This window comes from Homo sapiens, chromosome 1, assembly GCF_000001405.40.
Source record: "Homo sapiens chromosome 1, GRCh38.p14 Primary Assembly".
In the NCBI taxonomy this organism is placed as follows: Eukaryota; Metazoa; Chordata; class Mammalia; order Primates; family Hominidae; genus Homo; species Homo sapiens.
In genome coordinates this window covers 74616930-74636982 of record NC_000001.11, presented here as the reverse complement: position 1 = coordinate 74636982, position 20053 = coordinate 74616930, and the positions used below count along the sequence as shown (strand labels likewise).

The following is a 20053-nucleotide window of genomic DNA, read 5'->3' as shown; positions in this document are numbered from 1 at the left end:
GTATTTCAAGGATGCCATTGAATAAATTGTAATGAATTTCCTTTCCTCTTTTGTTTGAATTATACTGTCTGCTTTTACTTCAGCACCAGTCTTAAGGCTTAAAAGATTCAGAGTAGAGTTTATATTGAAGACATTTAGACAGAAATGAGTCCATTCCAATAATATCCTTTTAGACCCCTAAAATAGGAACATTATTCAACGTAACATTAAATTGAGCAAAGCCATTGCATGAAGAGCATAAATTAGTTATTGTCAGCAAGTTTGCAGTATGAATGAAAATACAGGAATGTAATGGAGGACATCTCCTTTGTCTAGAATACTCTATAATTGTGGCATTTAGTTATGTAGAGGACTTCAACACCATATGTTTTAACAAATACTTTGGGTCATAAGGGTATGTATAATGGAAGGACATAATTAAAGTTTAATCTGTTCAGTAAAAAGGCACCATTAATTACTCTAGGCAATTTATTGGGTTATTAATTGGTTCTGGAAACATGTCAAGATACTAATTTAAATGGAATTTTTTCCCCTAATTGTCTAGACAGCCCCTCGACCATATACTGCTCCAGGAAATATGCAGCCTCCAATTCGATTACAGCCTCTTCCCAGTAATCCTGCAGTAGAAACTGTTCCAAAGGTAACTTCAAGGTCCAGATCAAAAACCTCATTGCTGGAAAATGAAGCTCTGTTTCCCATTGGGGTAAATGTTATTTTTATCAATAAATATATTTTAATTTTTGAGTAGATTATTATAGGTTATTACAGTGGTCAAGGTATTATATTCGATTAAAATCTACACAGTGAAAATTATATTGTATATGTATGAAACACTTACTACATACTTGTGATTAATTATGTCTTACTCAAATGGGAAGGCCTGTAATTTGTGTCACTGAGCAAAAAAGTAAAGAATAGATTGGTAATAATGCATGGTGATTTCTCCTTAGTTTACAAGGCTGATTGAAAAACAAAGGGGAAAACTTTTCTGAACCAGATACAACTTCTATCAGAAAAGACCTAGTGTTGACTTCTTCCAAATTTTAAACGCATGAAACCTAGAAAATGAAACTTTCCAAGAATAGGTTTGCATTTGCATGCCGACTTACTTTCCCATCAATGTATGAAATTGCTTCAAGTTTGACTTTTAAAAGGTTGAATATAGAAAGAATAGAATGTCCATCTTTAAAAAATGCTGAGTTTATCACACATAGGAGCTTGATTCTGCTACCCTCTCAAGGTTATATCTCAGATAATTTTCCCTTATTTTAATAGAGCACAGGAAGGAGGTATGGTAACCATGAAACATGAGTTACTTAAATAGGGAGGAGGAATTAGTACATTCACTAATTAGGGAAAGTATTGTTAGTTTTTCTAAAATGAAGAAAATTTTGCCAGCTTAAGAAAAAACCTGCGACATGAGTACAATTGTCATTATGTTCAAAGGAATGATTATGTTTCATTTAAGAAACGCAAGATATATGAAATTAAGATATTTTTATTTTTAATTGACAGATAACCTTGACACTAAGAAATTAATTCAGACAAGTGATTGTGTTTCACAGTAAAAGTATAAATACAACTCTAAAAATAATAATATATTAATCTGCTTAATATGCTTTTCAGTTTCTGAAGCACTTTTCATAAATCTTATTTCAGTTAATTTAATAATAGTTTTCTAGAAACCAAGAGAAATTAATCCAAAAGTGGTGGTGCTTCATCCAGGGAAGACTGCTTACAGTTAGGCAGGAACTTCTTGAGTCTTATGTCAATTAGTTTGACACTTTCTAGGCTCTGGTCTCCACTTTGAAGACCCAGAGATTTCCTGTTTTAGCCAGGGTCCAGGAATAGTCACATCTTGTGAGACTGTCCAGGCTAACTAAACGAACTCAAAACAAGCTCATTTTTCTCTAGATAATAAACGAAAATGGGCAACTCAATGATATTCAGGGGCTATTTATTCACCAAGAGATGTCATAGTCAAGGCTTATAGAAGAAGTGCATTATCCCCTAGTAGGCAGACATATATGAGAAGCCAAATCACAATGAGAAAGTTGCCTAGTGAGCATGGAATCAGAATGAGGGGAGATAGTGTAATAGAATGTTAATCGTATAAGGCCTATATGGCCTGATACACCCATCTCATCTTGGGAATGGGCTAGCCAAAGGTACCAGAAAACTCAAAGGTCTTTGGCTAAAATCCTCTGTATCCTCCAGCAGTAACTTTGCCATTAGGACTAGAAATACTCAAAGTCCAATGAGTAGGATTTCCTCTCCCCTAGATAGTACTTGGATGGGTGCTTTCCATGCTTGCCAAGGTGATTATATTATTTTTTAAGTTCCATAATTATTAATGCTACTTTGATCAATACTTTGTTTCATTAGACATGTGAACACCATCAATCAGGTATTATTTAAGCTCTGCTGGCTGGGGAGCAATTTTTTTTTCCTTTAATGTGACTCTTCAAATCTGTTCTGAGCCACTGGATAGATTTACTAATTGAATCTTTACAGGGCCTTTTCCTGTTTCAAGTTTTTGGGGTATGTATTATTGAAAGACAGGCAGCTAATGGTAGCTGTCATGTGCTGACAAGATTGAGATAAATTCCACAATAATGTCAACTAGCTAAACTCACTTTTCATTTAGTAAATATTTATTGAGCATTTATGATGGCCTTGGTACTGCTTTAGGCATCAAGACAGACAAAAGTAACTTATTGGAGCTTATAGTGTAATGTTCACAGACAAAGTATACTGTGATTATGTCTTATCTGTAATTTTTTTCAATGGCATTGATGATGAAAATGATTTAATATAAAATCAGACAAGAAGCTCTTAAAGAAGAATAATATTCTGTACATTGCTGAGTATGTAGTGAGCACTCAAAAAACTCTTATTGCTTTTTTAAAGAGTAAAGTATATACATGTTGAAAGTACTTGAAGGTACAACAGATAGAAGTAGGTTGAACTTTGCTAAGTAGCAGGAGTGAGAGTCTTTAATTTAGGCAAAAGTGATTTGGCCAAAAACAGACGGGATGAGATGCAAATGAGGAAAAATAATGACTTGATTGAAAATGAATGATGTTAGAATGAGAGTTTCTCATATATTATTGGTAGAAGTAGAAATTAGTACAAGTATTTGTGAAGGCAATATGGAAATATCTATCACCATTTTAAATGAACATGCTCAAGCATTTTAACATGTAGGAATTTATCCTAGGAATACACAATATGTGTAAAGAAACAGATTCAAGAATATTTTGTACTGTTGTATTTGCAATAGTGAACAATTGGAAGATACCTAAGTAATAGGGTATTGTTTTAACTTGTTATGTTATATTAAAGTACATTTAAAAAGTATTATTACTTGCACTGGCATGAAAAGATGTCCAAAATGCTGTCGAACTAAAAGAAGCAAGGTAAAGAACAACATGTTAATTTTTTTGAAAAACTGGTAAACCATTTCCAAAGAAGGCATGTAATTGATTGATGCCTACTCAGAAATAATTTTGTTTTAAATCCTTAAACACAAAAAGTTCTAGATTCATTGATTTTCTTGTCATTATTTTTTACTTATTTTTATTTTTTATTACAATATAAACGTACTCCTTTACAGAAAAAATGGAAAATATAAGAAAAGAAAAATTAGAGCTTGACAAAATGCAATATCAACCATTCTAACAATTATAAACTCCTTGGTGAATATCCACTTAAATCTCTTTCGGTTCATATGCCTTTTTAAATCAAAATATGGGCTATCCATGCCCTTCATTTATAAGTTCCTTTTGCTCATTTAGCAATGAGAGATATTTGGAGAGTACTTTCCTTTCTACAAAACAATTTTTCACCAATAAGCATATTAAAATACAAACTAAGTTGATCAAAAATTAATTAGAAATTTAAAAATAAACATAAGTACAATATAAATTTATATTGTAGAAATAGAAATAAATTGGTGCAAAATAGATAAACCTACTTAAATATTCCTTAAAATTTGGGAAACTACCTCAGATACCCAAAAATTACCAATTTGTGAAAATTCAGTGACTCACTTATACCTGACAAATGTAATTATTGACTATACCTTTGGTGTTTTTTAATGATTAAAATAGTACATGCTGATTAAACTCTAAAACAATATGAAGGTATATCCCTAAAGGTAGCCACACATTCAAGTTTTTTCAGTCATTCTTATTTTTAATCAGAATTCACACGTAAATTATTTAAAAGAAATTTATGGTCATACCATATGAACCTTTTTATTTCAGGATAAATATATTCATGTTATTTTTGTTTAAGCCCGGTGAGATCTCTCATAGGAACAAAGCAAGTTTTAGTTAAACATCTTCCTATTGATGGACTTATATGATGTTACATTTTGTGCAATTAACTTCTTCATATATATGTGTGTGTGTGTGCATGTGTGTATATGTATCCTTATACACATTTATATTAGTGAACTTGTATAGTTATCTGTGTAGGATTTATTCCTACCACTAGAATTTCTAGGTCAAAGGATATATACCTTAAAATTTTGATAAATATTTTAATTTTTCCTCTGTAAATGTAATAATTTACTCTAAATAGTACATGAGTTATTTATGCTAAACAGTACATGCCAGTTTGTTTACAGCTTTGCAAACCCTGCATATTCTAATACCTAGATGCCTGAAATAAGAATATGAAAAAAGTCCTAATTTCCTATTGCTAACTGGACTAAAGCTCTGCTTTAAAGCACACTTCAAACTTCTTGATTTTAAATTGTTTAGTTGTATTGGGTTTAATGGATTGTTGAAGAAAAACCCCAAAAGTACTATAAAAGTGTCATCACTTTATGTTAGTTAAAAAATATACCACACAAGGTTAGAATTTTTAATTTGCCGCAGATACTACAAAGTGTCATTTTTCAGCAGACTGGAGTGTTTTGAGTTTGTCTATTGATATCAGTTGTGTTTGCATGCAATGTCAATCATTTAGGCTTGTCTTTAAATTTGGGTTACATTGAGTCACTGATTCTGTTTCACTGGTTCTTATGCGATGAAATATGATTACAGGGCAAGAAGGCAGTGATGAAGTTCAGGAACTCCATAGGCAATTCACAGAGAATGAATTCATATCAACTTCCAAACATTAACAGTTACATGATGCCTATTCCTCCTCCACTTCCCCCAACTGGGAAAATCACAAGAGAAAATAGATCTGAAACATGGAGAAGGAGAAGATTTCGTCCAACCACTGCTCCAAATGGCTTAGAACCTCTTTTGACAAAGGTGATTATGGAACAAATTTTTCTTTTATTAATTTATCTCAGATTACATTGCACTATTAGATTTCTAGGTTTGCAGTAAAAGAATTTGGAGGAAATTGCATGCAAAACGTTGTGTGTAAAGAAATACAATTTTATAAGTAAGCTTGAATGTATCTGAAACCACAGGCTTGAGTAATTCAGTTGCATAATGAGTTTAGCATAATTAATAATAAAAGATTTAACAATTCTTGTGGTCAAATTTAATTTGACCAATACCTATTTCCAAATCATTTATTTCCTTAAATGCACCTGTTCAGTCACATGTTGTTAGAAACATCTTTACATCTAAGTTGTAAAAATTCAGAAACCTTGATATACCTAAAAAACACAATATAGTTTATTTTGAACAATTTATGGCAAATTACTGTATCATACATAGATAAATTATTTCAGTAATTTTTTAAGAGATTACAGTTTGTTGTACTGATTTCCTCAAAATACTAATAGAAGAAACAATTTTAAGGCCTGTTGGACTTTATACACATACAAGCTAGTAAGAAGGCAAAATATCTCTTCATTTTTATTATGTTAAATATACAACCAATAGCAATTAAATGAAAGTTTTGTGATTGGCAAATAAGCTGGGTCAACATTTCACTGACTGACCATCAGGAAGTGAAGTGCCAGCATGCACATAGATTCTTAAAAACCAACTTCACTTTCAGGAACCTTATTCACCCCATGTCCACATCTCACTCCCAGCAGCTGTCCTTACCTCTAACCTTCTCAGAAGATGGGGACCATCTTCTTCCTGCTTGCTTGAATTTCCTTTTTTCAACTCTACTTTTACCAATTCTCTCCCTTGGTTGCTGTCTTTGACAGGATGTTTTCTCTCTCATCCCCAAGGCCCACCCTTGCCCTGCGTCTTTGATCAGATACTCTTTCACTGTCGGTGGTAGCTCATACTATCTGTCATTCTCTCTAATTTGGATTTGCTGGCTTCCTCTAATACTCATCTCTGTCTCTCAACATATCCAGGCCTTAGATAAAGGAGCAAATTATTTCCTCACATGCTGCAACCTTAGACTTCTGTTTTATCTTTTCTTCATTAGTAAGTTCTCTATAGAGCAGTTTACTGGAGCTTAGTCTAACAACCCCAGGCAACTCAACTTACAACAATATTCTTGCTCACAATTTTATGGTCAGCTGTAATTCTAGGACCCAGAGTGGAGGAACAGCTCAGAATGAAGGAGTCTGGAATATGTTGGCCTCATTCATGGGCAACAGAACCACAGAATGCTTTTAAGGTTCCACTCAGGAGTGGCACATGTCACTTACACTTGAATGCCATTTGGCAAGCCCTTGACCAAGACTGACCTCAATGGAGTAGGAAGTATCAGTCTCTCACAGAAAAGGGCAGCGAATATTTGGAACAATAATAGAATCTACCATATCCACTAACTTAATTTTTCACTCTGCATGCTGGCATTGGTTTCTACCTGGCCAATGAACATGCTCTCAAAAGATGTGGCTCATACTTAGCAAAAACAATGACTTACTCATCATTCTGAAACACTTGGGGGGCAGGATTTGATTTTCGGATGTTAAAATGTATTACTGGGATACATTCTACCTGTTCATGCTCTTTTAAAACACAAGTTTAAATGTCTCACAAGCCATAAGAATATATAAAGTCTTATCTATATGTACAAGTTCAACAACAATAACCAAGCAAGCACCATGCACTCACTACACCTTCACGATGAACTCTATCATATTATGCAAGAGCCCCCTTTTTCCTGCCCCATCATTCTTTAATTTTTCCAGAGCAAGCACCATGCTGACTTCCCTGTGAACTATGTCCCTGCTTTTCTTTAGAGTTCTATCGCTTATATGCATAAAACTTCAGAAATAAGCTCAAACCTAGCATTGTAATGAAAGGACGCTATTTCCGGAAGAAAATAAGCTGAATAGAATCTTTGGGTCACAGCCTGGGTTTGGTTTTTAAACAGTTTTAAAAGCCCCTTCTGGGGAAGTCAGAGTGGTCAGGTCATGAGTGTGTCAAGGTATCTGGCGAGGTCCTAGTGTGAGCCAGACACTGGATGTCCAGCAGGAAAATGACCAGGAGAATGGGCTTCTGTAGCTGGGCATGGAGGAGGGAGCAGCAGCCTCTTCATCCCAGGGTCGTGACAAGTGAAGCACAAATAAGCATCTGAGCCAGGTTCCCCTGGGATTCTGCATTCAGGTTAGAAGCACAGCATGGTGTCATCAGGCATGCTGGCTTTGACAGACCTTATCATGTCTGTCTCCTGAGTCACAGGGCTTCAGTCTGACTTACTCTTCTTTTTTTCCAAGAAAAAAAAAACCTTTTTCTCTCTTTTTGGAATCTCTATTTTGGGAATGTTAGAACTACTAGACTGATGCTCTAAGATTCTTAGCTTTTCTCTCCTACTTTCTACCTCTTTGTCTTTTTGTTCTACTTGCTGAGAGGTTTTTTTTTTCAATTTTATCTTCCACACATTCTACTGAGTTTTTTCTCCTGCCATGTTTCAATTCTAAGAACTCCTTTTGTGCTCACTGAATGCTACTTTTAAAAATGCATCTTATTCTTGATCTGTATGATTTTAACTCCGTCGTATTTGTGGAGACTTGCTTTGTGAGCTAATATATGTTCAGTTTTGGGAAAGAATAATATCCTTTAAATGTTGAAATTAAGGTTCTATAAATGTCCAATAGATAAATGTTAATTATGTTACTCATATTTTTACATTTGTAGACTTTTTATGTGTTTAGTCTCTTAATTCTTGAGTTATAATGAAAATCCATTCTCTATAATTATGGATTTGTCAATTTGTCTTTGTAATTATGCCAAGTTCTGTTTTTAAATGTTTAGAAAGTCTTATATGCTCTCAGACTTAAGATTATTTTAATCTTACTGGTGAGGAGATCCTTTTTGTCATATTACTTTTTGTCTTAAAATCTATTTTGTCTAATAATACTTCTTATTTTCTTTAGTGTGTCTGTGTGTGTGTGTGTGTGTACTGTATATGGAGAGTTGACACTTGAATAACATGGGGGGAAGGGGTGTCATTTCTCTGCACAGTCGAAAATTTGTATATAAACTTTGACTCCCCCCAAACTTAACTACTTGTAACCTACTGTTGACTGGAAGCCTTACCAATAACATAAATATTCGATTAACACATATTTTGTATGCTATTTGTATTATATACTGTATTCTTACAAAGTTAGAGAAAAGAAAATGTTATTAGGAAAACTGTAAATAAGAGAAAATACATTTATACTACTGTACTGTATTTATCAATACCATAAGTTATGTCTTCTCTTTACGAAATGAATCGTCCACCCGTGAGCAACCTCAGCTAGAGAATTCAATTCAACCTTTTCTTGTAATGTCATGACTTTGCTTCCTGGAGTGTTTCTCCAAGTGAAACTTTGTTGAGTCCCATGATGTTATTCAGTGTTTACAGTATTACGCTAAACACGATGGAAAATATGTAAGAACTTTGAGAGATTACTTTTTACTCTGATAGATGATTTACTAAAGAGATGAATTGCTCGTGTGGACATGACTAGTGTCACATGGCATTTTAAGTGGATACTCACAACACTTGAGCTCACTACAATAGCAACAGAAGGTGGCTATGAAATTATTACAGCAGTACAGTATGTACTACAGTTAATTTTATGCAGTTATGATTTAATATTGCATCTTTATATTTGTTTACATTTCTCTTGATTGTAAATGGCACCATGCATGGTCTGTTAAGAGTATGTGTAAGTTTTCATAAATCTTAACTTTTTATAACAGATTTGTGTGTATTTTATGGTAGTAAATGATAAAACAGACTAGCATCTACATATATTTTATGCATTCATAACATACATTTTTCTTATTTTTCAAAATATTTCTAGGCTATACAGTTTGTCTTCAAGTTTTTCAAATTGTTGTAAATCTCCAAAGAATTTTCCAACATACTTATTGAAAAAAATCTGCATATGTGTGGACCCATGTTGTTCAAGGGTCAACCGTATATATACACATATGTATGTGTGTATATGCATATGTGTATATATATTCCTTTCACTTTTAGTCTTTTGGTGTCTTTAGTTTTAAACTTTAGGCTTTAAATATGTTTATGTAACATAGGGGTGGATTGTGTTTGATTCAATCTGAGAATCTCTGTTCTATTAATAAATGAGTTTAGTCCAAGTATATTTACTTTGTTTAGTGATATATTTAGACTTATTTCTACCATCTTAGTTTTTTTTTAACTTACCATGACATTTCTTTGTAGAATTTTATGCTATTAATTGCCTCTTCCTTAAACCTCTCCTCTCTTGCCTTCCATGGCATTCTGTTTTCATGCTTCCTCGGGGTCTCCTTTCACCTCTTGTCCTACTCCTTTGTGATTCTTTTTCATCTTCACCCATAAATCTACCCATCCCTATAGGCTTCAGCCTTTACACTTGTTTTTCTATTCAAGATGTAGTCATCTTCACACATGATTTCATGCTAGATGTCTGTTGGAGTTGACTCTAGCCCTGATCCTTAGGCATCGAGTAAAATTGTCTCAGTGGGGAGAGTCACACATTTTACATTAATACTTGAGTTTCGTTTATTTAGATATAGAAAAGATTCATTTAAGGGGAGATGGCTCTTGTGACTAATTTACACATAAATTCATCTTTCATTTTATGACTACCATCCAGCAAAGCATCTTTTAAAGGCTCTTAAAAAAAAGGAAAGAAAGAGTAAAAAGCAATGAAATGTGGCTTGCTGGTATCCACCACCTGCTCCTCTATGAATGTGTAGAACAACATGGTCTCTGGCTTCTGTGATTCATGTCTCTGGGGATGATCAGTAGAGCCAAATGGCAAGGTGTGGTACGACTCACAGTCCAGCAAGTTGTCTCTGGACTCTGTTGCTTTGTCCTGTTTTGTTCTAGCACCTTCAGAGCTTTATACTGCATTTACAGAATCCATGAGGCTAGTTACATTTTGCACTAAGGTTTAACTCACTCACCTCCAGACTTTTGTGTTCCCACTCAGGATCGAGGTAGTCTAACCTTACCAGTCACCTACTCTATACAGCAGCCTGCTGAAAATGTGGAAAGTTTCATATATAGCTTTTATAAAAGGGAAAGTACAGGCTTCCAAATAAGAACCTACTTAATGGTTATGTTTATCTATTTTAGAAACCAATAACAAAGTTTGCTTTTATTTTTTATACATTTTTTGAAAGAGAGGGCAAAAAGTTTATGACACTAGTTTGAGACTTTTCCATGAAAGCCCCCTATCTACCTCCTAGGTACCAAATAAGCCCTGTGCAATTACAGATGCCCAATTGATAGGTCCTACTGCTCCTCAAATTCAACATGGTTACAACTTAAGCCAGTTTCTCCATTCAGTTGCCTTATTTATTTTAAAGCACAAACTTTTGTCCTGTAATTTGGCCTCAAAATCTATAATTTCTTCTTCCTTGTGCATTGCACATCCAGCTAGTTGCTAAGTTCTCTAGATCAGAGATGTCCAATAGAAATAGAAGGCAAGCCACATATGCAATTCTAAAATTTTCTAATAGTCAATTTAAAAAGATAAAGAGAAACATGAAATAAATTTTAAGACTTTAATATATTTTATTTAATCAAGTATATCTAAAATATCATTTCCACCTGTAATCAATATGAAAAATTTTAATTAAGTATGATGTATTTTCTTATACTATGTCTTTGATATTCAATGAATATTTTATACTTACAGCAAATGAGCTACCTTTCAAATGCCCAGCATCCAAATGGGAGAAGTGGCTGCTGTCCTGGATGGCACAGCTCTAGATGCCACCTGAACAGTGGCTCATGTACCTGATAATCCTTTTTCATCCTTACTGCTACATCTCTAGTTCAGGGGCTTGATAACTAATCTTTTAATGGAACTATTGCAATCATCTATATACTTGTCCTGCCTCTAAATGAGAATATAGCTCAGTCCAGTTTTTGTTGATAATGGCAAATGATATGCTAGGTCCTGAGGTTACCAAGATGGGTAAGACTAAACTGTTTCTCTCAGAAAGACTGCAGTCTAGCAAGAGAGACAGATATATATATATACAATTAACCATGATATATTGTGATGAGTACTATAATTGTGATATAAATAAAGCACAATAGAAACATAGAGGAAAGAAATATTAGTTTTGACCGAGGAGATTAGAGAATGCCTCCTAGAGAAGGTGGCATTTGAAATGGGCTTTGAATGATCAGTAGGAAGTTAGCAGATAGAACCAGGGAACTGAGATTGAAAAGCAGAAAGGGGAAAAAGGAATAAGCAAAATTCATCTCGGTTTTATTAGATTCTACATAATGGTGCTAAATTAAACTTTATGGAAAAACTCTCAACATGCTCCTCTACTGCTTGAAACCTTCACTAGTTGGCCCTTTCTTAATGAAAGTAGGTATATTGTTCTGCATGGCTATTTTAAAATGTGGGTTTTTAAAAATTATTCAGGTATGGTGAAACTTACAGATTAAGAGACAATTGCCATCAAAAAGATAGATTGTTACTCACAGTTCCCAAGAGGAGGGGACACACCACATGCATTGGTCAGGGATCCATCCAGAATAATGTTTACCAATCTGGGCATTGGAGTCCGGCTAAATTAATAGGTAAAATTAACCATCACAAGATCAGGTGCAGTGGCTCACATCTGTAATCCTAGTGACTTGAAAGGCTGAGGCAAGAGGATCACTTGAGGTCAGGAGTTTGATACCAGACTGGCCAACATACAAGACCCAATCTCTAACACCTGTAATCCCAGCTATCAAGGAGGCTGAGGCAGGAGGTTGGCTTGGGCCCAGGAGTTTAAGGCTGTAGTGATTGCACCACTATGATTGCACCACTGCACTCCAGCCTAGGCAACACAGCAAGACCCCATCTTCAATAATGTTAATAACTCTTACACCACACCATGCAGAGCTACACAAGGAAGCACCAGAGTAGGTTAGGAAGCAGAGGGAGTGGGGGAGGAAATGTGAGCAGGAACCCTTATTATCATTTCTGTGGGAAGGAACAGGTGAGAGAGATCCTGAAAATCTAGAGCTCTGATGCCTCTGTAAGGATTGAGGTGTTTCTGGGCACATTAGGAATAAGCATGAGGTAAAGTTTACACAGTAGTAAGAAAAATGGCCCAAAAGAAAATGAAAAGAGTAACTATACTAAAAGCAAACTGGGAGGCAAAACCAGAGAGAAAGAGAAGAGAAAGGGAAGAACATGTGTAATGTAGTGCTGTGAGGTTTTCATACAACCAGCTGCTTCCTAAGTCTTTGGGATATGAACACTCTTCCTCTGGCTTGTGTCAGACTTTCTCTCTCTAGGGCCACCAGCATCAACATGGGGATTGCCACTTTTTATGGTCAGGCTGGTTTTGTATCAATCTTTATCAAGGAATAGTAACCAAAATTGGTGTTTGGTTTAACAAGACACTGTGAATCAGTTTTCCTGTTCTGGTAACTATTGAGTTTCTATAAATGTAGCAAGCTTCCTATATAGGGTAGAACCAACCTACTGTAGCTTTATCAGAATATGGAAAGGACAGAATATGGAATGCCTAATTGTTCCATGTCTGTGTCCAGTTGGATCAATGTTAATTAGGTCCTTACTAAGCATCAGCACTGGCAAGTTACTGGGGGCATGAAGATCACTAGGACGTCATCCTTATCTACTGAGAGAGAGATAATACAAGGGAATAGTTCCAATATCATGTGACTCATACAGTTGTAGAGGCCTGGAGATTAAAAGTAGTTGATAGTGTTTGGGCCACTACAATCAGTTCCGTTGCCAGACATTTAAATGTAGCATGAGAAATTGCAATCACTGGGAGATAGTAGGTATTAGAAAATATAACACATTTTATGTTGCCTGGGGAATGTTGGAACTTATCCCATGGATAATGGGAATCACTGGAGGGCTTTAAGCAGGAGAGTCACATGATCTGTTTAATAACAATAGATCACTCTGATTTCCAACAGGAGGGAGATTTTGAGGGATATCAGACTAGAAGTGGGGAGACTAATTCGTAGGGCGACCATACTTCTCAGTTTTCCTGGAATAGTTCAAAATTCTGCCCCTTTCCCCCCCATTTCCTAATTTTTAGTAACACTTCTTTCACTATGTGTCCAAGTTTGGATGATAAATTTCATGGTCACCCTACTTGATGTCCAGAATTCACCAGGGCTTCGTGAAGAAGATGGAGAGGAGTTATTACCCAACACTATCAACAAGAACAGGCCCTTTGACACTATACTGTTTGTGTGGGCATGGATAAAAGAGATTTCAGTGAAAACTTAGTATATCAATTCAATGCTAAATGTTGCAAATATATAATGACTGATGGGTTAACCACTCAATGGGCTTGCTGTTTCTTTATCAGCTCAGTTGTACTTGCCTGAGAAATCTGAAAAGAAATGAGAAGGAAAGTCATAAGCAACTGGTGAAGGAAATCAGAAAGAAGAGCTTTAGTTATGCAGGGGCATGAGGCCTTGTTCCTGTTCTTCAAATGGAACTGAATTTTCATGGAAGGTTTTGATACTTACTTGAGGATAGCAGAAAGGGCCGAGAAACCTTATTAAAGTTTCATTTGTCTCTGGTCATTATATCTTTGCAAGATGGTAAGTATAGAGGCAGTTCAGTCAATTGAAAGAAACTACTGTTTGTTTCCTAGTGTGTATATTTAATCACGAGCTGTCACTTGGGCCTTCTGTTTGTTAGAAAAAATTTACTTGGTTGCAATAATTAGGGAATATTTTTTAAAAAGAGAATGAAATAATGAGACCCAAGAGAAAAGAGATTTTACCATCAGAAATAAGCTTTAGCAGAAAGAAATATGAATAAGAGGAAATGAAAAGGATAAAGGGCTGCCTTTTCCTGTATTTTTCTCTTTAAAAGTTTCTCCTTCCAGTTTCTCATTTCATACACAGGACACAGGTCTTTCCCTGACTCTAATCCCACTATTACCTAGTATTTATATAGTGCTTATCGCCTACAAACTCACAGGGCTGCCTCTAAATCCATGCTGCTTCAGAAAGTATTGCTTAACAAAAGGGGGATGCTTTTATTTAATCAGTCACTTCATTAAAGGTGCTAGGTGCAGCTTGGAGCTGGATTTGCCTGAGGTCTGCTGATTGTGCAGTGGGCTGCACACAGGCATGTCACAGCTCCACAGTTGCCCAGGCAAGAGGAAACATGGGATTATGATTTTCCAAGTAGGAGTCAGACCTGGCATCATCCCCTTTGCTTCAACTGTGATTCAGGGAGATGTTTCTAATCTGCAAGAAATTATCCAGTTTGCTGATTTACTTTCATGGCTCTTGATGCCCTGTAATATGTCTCTTGATTATCTCTTTATTTGAGAGCTCTTCCTTCCAACAGGCAAGAAAATTTGCTTGAATTTTTAAATCTTGGACTTTCTCCCTCATTTATACTTTCAGATGGTTGCTAGCAGAATTTCATTCCATCAGATTTCTTTCCTCTGGTTTTTGCTTCAGAGAATAGAATGAAATGGAAAAGAAATCATCTGAAGTGGAAGAGGATGAGTTTAGAGATGGAAATATTTTAGTAGTTCCTTCAAAAATGTTTGTTGCAGCGTTGTTATTCTTTAGAAAATGCATGCTTCTCATGCATCTATAATTTGATGGAATCAGCTCAAATTACTGCCTTGGATCCACTTAAAGTTGGTCTCTGCACATTTTTTGTCTAGCTTAAAATTGATTTTTAGGAAAGTGAAGTAGATGAGAAGGAAAGGCTGGCCTGTGTACAATTCTAGAGGCCTACAATTTTCTTACTAGCCCCCCTTAAAGTCTTTCAACCCTCTCAGCCTTTCTTATTTCTCTTCCTCTTCCTCCTTTCCTTTGTTCTGCTTCTACTTCCTCCTCTTCCTCGTAGAGGTCAGGCAAACACTGTGCTCATTCACTATTATGAAAATATTTCAAACAATTAATTAGGAGTCAATGCCTAGGACATTGATTTTCTGGCATACACATTTACTGCATATTTTATAAATAATTTAAATTGGGCAATGCCATAGGATATCAAATAGGTTTTTGTAGTAATTTTAGAGACTTTGATCGGTAGATTGTTTTGATACTATAAACAATATTGATATTGGATTTTCAATCAACTGAATGCCCCTGTGAAACTGGATAGTCCCAAGCCCAAATTATTGATGACACCGATCTTCAGAATGACCGTAGAAGAAATCATACATGTGCATCTCCCTCTCAGATGGAATAAGCCCAGGGAAGGATGTGTTGTCAGTGCTCAGCTGTAAAGATAAAGCAGCCAATTACAAAAACTATTGCTAAATCTCTAAGTCAGTTCAAACTGAAACAAAATGATGTTACTAATATTTATTTAGTTCATTTGTTTGGATTTTTATTGGAGAACCAGCTAACAGAGGCAAAAGTTTCTTCTTGGTGTCATTGAAATTTTTGCTATATATAACAAACACACTCCCACACACCTCCCCACACACTTGCACTTAAAGTAAAAAATGACAAACTCTATCCAAATCCCCATTATTTACATTAAAAGTAGAAAGCCAAAACATATATGTTATAGTTATTTAGGAGGATTTATTTTGCAATGAGTTTGACTTTTTGTGCATTTGTAAATTGACACTTTATTTAGATTTTGTTGGTAGGTACTTAAAAATAACCTTCTTTATTCTTCATATTACAATGTCAGGTAAGAACTCTCATTAGAAAGTAATTCGTTAATAAGCCTCATTTTTCTGTTTATTTCAGGATTCAAGAAGGATTCATAAAACATCCTTACATAGTAATGCAGCTATTACAATGATCTATTTGGGGAAAAATGTGCACCTATCTTCTGATAATCCTGACTTCCGGGATGAAATTAAAGTTTATCAGCAGCACTGTGGTGGGGAAAACCTTTGTGTCTACAAAGGCAAACTACTTGAAAAAGGTACACATAAAATGTGAATGTTTTTTAATTGCTTGGAGTTGATGTTATAGATAAGCTGCTGTTGATATAATATCAAAATGACTTCAATCACTTTATGAAATTATGCATATCCAGGGACTTATAAACCAGCTGCCTAAAAGTAAATCTAGATTTACTGCTCTATGATTGAAACTGAAGCAGCAATTACTCTCGCAGATTGTGGAAGAAAGGATTTGGAGTGATTTAACCTGGTAACAGATTAATTTTGGGATGGAGATATATGATCATTAAAATGTTGCACGAATAAGCTGTCCCCGAAATTCCAAGTTAACTATTTGGCTTGCCATAGTGAATTATGCCATACATTATTCTAAGAGAAAAATACCAGATTGGAAATTTGTTCTTTAGAGGTATGTTGAGATAAAATCACAAATCCAATAAACTGCAGGGTGAATCACACCTAAATAACTTGGTGGAGAATTTGGCTAAATAGCTTTTTAGTACATTTTTGCTTTCATTTGATCATAAATCCACGTTTGTCAGCATAGGATAATGTTTATATGCAATGTAGGTTTTTGCAAATTATACTGTAATGTTTTTCTTCAATATTTAGTTCAAGGGAGCAGCAGTGAAAAGAAATAGTGTTTACAGGGTTATATTGTTACTTCCTTGCTTAAGAAACTGGGTCCAAAAAGTAATAGCATTTTTACTAATTAAAAGAAATATACGTATTTGGATAATCTTGGTAGGAGTTACGGGGAGAATTGGGGACAAACATGGAATTTTTACTTTTAGTCTTTCTGATTTCCCTCATTAATTGAAGACAGTGACTATTACTTAAAATAAAATTCATGTCCTTAAAGAGAGACTATAAATTCATATTGAGGAATTACATATGTAAAACTTTCCATCACAAAAATGGTAAACACTTAAATGATAGTTTCAACTTAAAGTGAAACACAATATGATGCTCAATGATGTCAGAAACTGTTTTTTTCCATTTCCATTTTATGTATTTGGTAGGAATGCAATTTACCTTGTTTATTTTGCTGTAGCATTCCAGAGTTCATTCCTTTTGTTTTGTAGTTGAGGAAAATGAGATGATTCCAGAGGTGGAGTGGCTCCCCAAGGTAACACTCTGACCAGAGTCGAGAGCAAATCCCGAGCCCCTGGCTAGGTGCAAGGCCCTTGATCAGTTCCAGGCAGCCCCAGTGAGCTATTCTGAGTAGCATGGAGTTTCCTACATTTTCATGATATAAGTGGGATGAAACCCCTAATGATAGTGGCATAGATACATACACTTATTTTTTTAAAGTATAACTTTCAGCTATTGATTTAGGAGAATGCTGAAATTAGCTGTAAAGTCGGAATTAATGTGATGAAAACTGTCCTGGACTTTAGATCACACTTTATTCAACAAAATGCATATAAAACATCTATTTGCTGGAAAATGTGATAGATACAAATGAAAAAAGAATGAGGCTTAGCTAAATGATTCTCTGGTAGATGATGTACACTCTGTGATGAGAGTGAAAAACCAAAGGTTATGGGAAAAAGGGTGTCACTTGAGTCAGTGTTATTTTGCATACATATTGATGCTGGGATGTTTTGTTACGGCATTGGACAGTCTTGAATAATAGCATGGAATGGGGACTTAAATAATTGAATCCTGTCGATGCAATAATTTTGTCTCAGCTTGCCCTTGATTGCCAGGAAAGTAATTGTTCAAAATTGAAAAGTTGGGTGGCTCAGAGTTGACTTGTGGTTCAGCAATCTTAGCAATTTAGCTGGACTGAAAAGAATCTGCCCTTTCTACAAATCAAAGCTGTGCATGATTCAGTAAAATGTGAATAGGGTTTTAAAAGATTTCTGTTAACAAAAGTTGGAGGGGGAGCATTTAACATTGTGCTTGGAGCAGTAAACTCATTAAGATTTGGCTTTCGTTAATTCGTCTTGCCTTTTTATTAGAAGTAACAATAAAATTAATTATTTAGAAAGGTGGCAAGTGCATCCTTTATTCCCAGGTAATTCATGATGTCTTGCAATTTGATTTTAGACTTCAAGCCACAAGCTGATTGTTTATTATATACACCTATGAAGTTACTGAGTATTTCCTGCTACTTGTAGAGTACAATTTCTTCACAGGCATTTTTATTTGCCATGTTTATCTTTTCAGACAACACAAACCATGGCTTCCTGGGTTCATTTTAAGTGCAAAATAAAGTAACAATTTTTTTCTGGCTTTCTTAGAATCCCTTCCTTTTCTGCCCCATTTTCCTGTATTTCCATAACCGGATCCTGTTGCATCTATCTGTGCATTCCTCATTATGCTGTGGCAAATACAGCTGCTTCACTTGTCCCATACGCACTATTATTTTTCCTTTGCTTGTGCTATTTCCTTTGTCTATAATACTTTCTCTTTTCTCCTTTTCAAATTCAAATCTTACCCATCTTTTAGGACTCAGATTAAGGCTGTGCAGCTTTCTCACTGACTTCTACTCTGTTTTATCCCAATAGCTTTCAGTCAGCACTCAAAACTGAAGCAGTTCATTGTGCTTTGACTTATATTAACGGTTTTTAATTTTTTTCTTTTTTAAGAGACAGTCTCTCTCTCACCCAGACTAGAGTGCAGTGCCACAATCATAGTCACTATAGCCTTGAACTCCTAGGGTAAAGTGATCTTCCTATCTCAGCCATGCCCAGCTAATTTTTAAATATTTTTTATAGAGATAGGGTCTTGCTATGTTGCCCAGTCTGGTCTCAAACTCCTGGACTCCAGCAATCTCCCTGCCTTGGCCTCACAAAGCATTGGGATTACAGGCTTTAGCCACCACACTCAGCCCTGTTTCTTATTTTTCTTTTATCATTGACTTTTTTTTCAGTTTTAAAAAATAGCTTTATTGAGGTGTGAATTAAATGCCATAAAATTTATTCATTGTAAGCATATAATTCAATTTCTTTTTAGAATTGTACAGAGTTGTGCAGTCATTATCACAGACTAGGTGTAGGACATCTCCAGCACTTCAGGAAGTTCCCTTGTTCTCTTTGACAGTTGGTCCTTGTCTCATAGACAGCCCCAGGAAGACACTGATCTGCTTTCTGACTGTACAGATTTTCTTTTCTGGACATTTCCTATAAACACAATCATACCATGGGTAGTCTTTTGTCTTTTTACACTCACTTAGCGTAATGTTTTTGAGAGTCATGCATATTTGTAGTATTAGTAGTGGCTCTCTCTTTATATTGCTGAGTATATTCCATTACATGGATATACCATATTTTTAAAAATTTATTCCCCAGTTAGAGGACATTTGTATTGATACTAGTTTGGGACTATGAACATAAAAACACGTTTTTGGGTAGATACATGTTGCTCTTGATTAGATTCCTAGGTGTGGTTTTAATTGCTTTTATTTCTAGGTATATGTCATATTTTCCCTTTTTCTAACATGTCTTTTGATTGTTTGTTGAAAACTACATATTTAGGTGCTATTTTAAAGTTCCTGTGAATTCTGGATTCTGACTTTTCCCTATCAAAGGTTATTGTTGTTTCTGGTTTTTCCTTCCTTTTTTTTTTTTTGTTTGTTTTTTGTTGTTTTTTTTAGTAACTTACCAAAATTAAATCTGTGAAATTTAGCCTTCATCATCCTGGTGCAGAGCCAGCCATGTTTTGCTCAGATTAAAAAATATTATATTGCTATTTTTTAGTCTGGACTCTTGGGGTAGTCTCTGTGTTTTTATAGCTCATTGCTAACGTCCCCAAAAGTATATCTGAAAACATCAAGAATTTATTCTCTTGTGGGTTTCCAGGCCAAAAGTCAAAAA

General features: G+C 35.1%; 1 protein-coding gene and 1 long non-coding RNA gene across 4 annotated transcripts in view; one reads left to right on the top strand and one right to left on the bottom strand.

Annotated features, from left to right (window-relative positions):
- The window catches only part of ERICH3 (glutamate rich 3), a 106221-nt gene that overhangs the window by 37361 nt on the left and 48807 nt on the right, over positions 1-20053 (top strand). For both annotated transcript variants that reach the window (NM_001002912.5, XM_017000275.2), the window contains exons 6-8: positions 545-703; positions 5055-5270; positions 16069-16249. In NM_001002912.5, the coding sequence (NP_001002912.4) occupies positions 545-703; positions 5055-5270; positions 16069-16249 (556 nt within the window). The remainder of the gene's footprint in view (positions 1-544; positions 704-5054; positions 5271-16068; positions 16250-20053) is intronic.
- ERICH3-AS1 (ERICH3 antisense RNA 1) overlaps positions 10885-20053 on the bottom strand; it is a 48669-nt gene continuing 39500 nt past the window's right edge. For both annotated transcript variants that reach the window (NR_121671.1, NR_121670.1), the window contains exon 3: positions 10885-15587. This is a non-coding gene — a long non-coding RNA (ERICH3 antisense RNA 1). The remainder of the gene's footprint in view (positions 15588-20053) is intronic.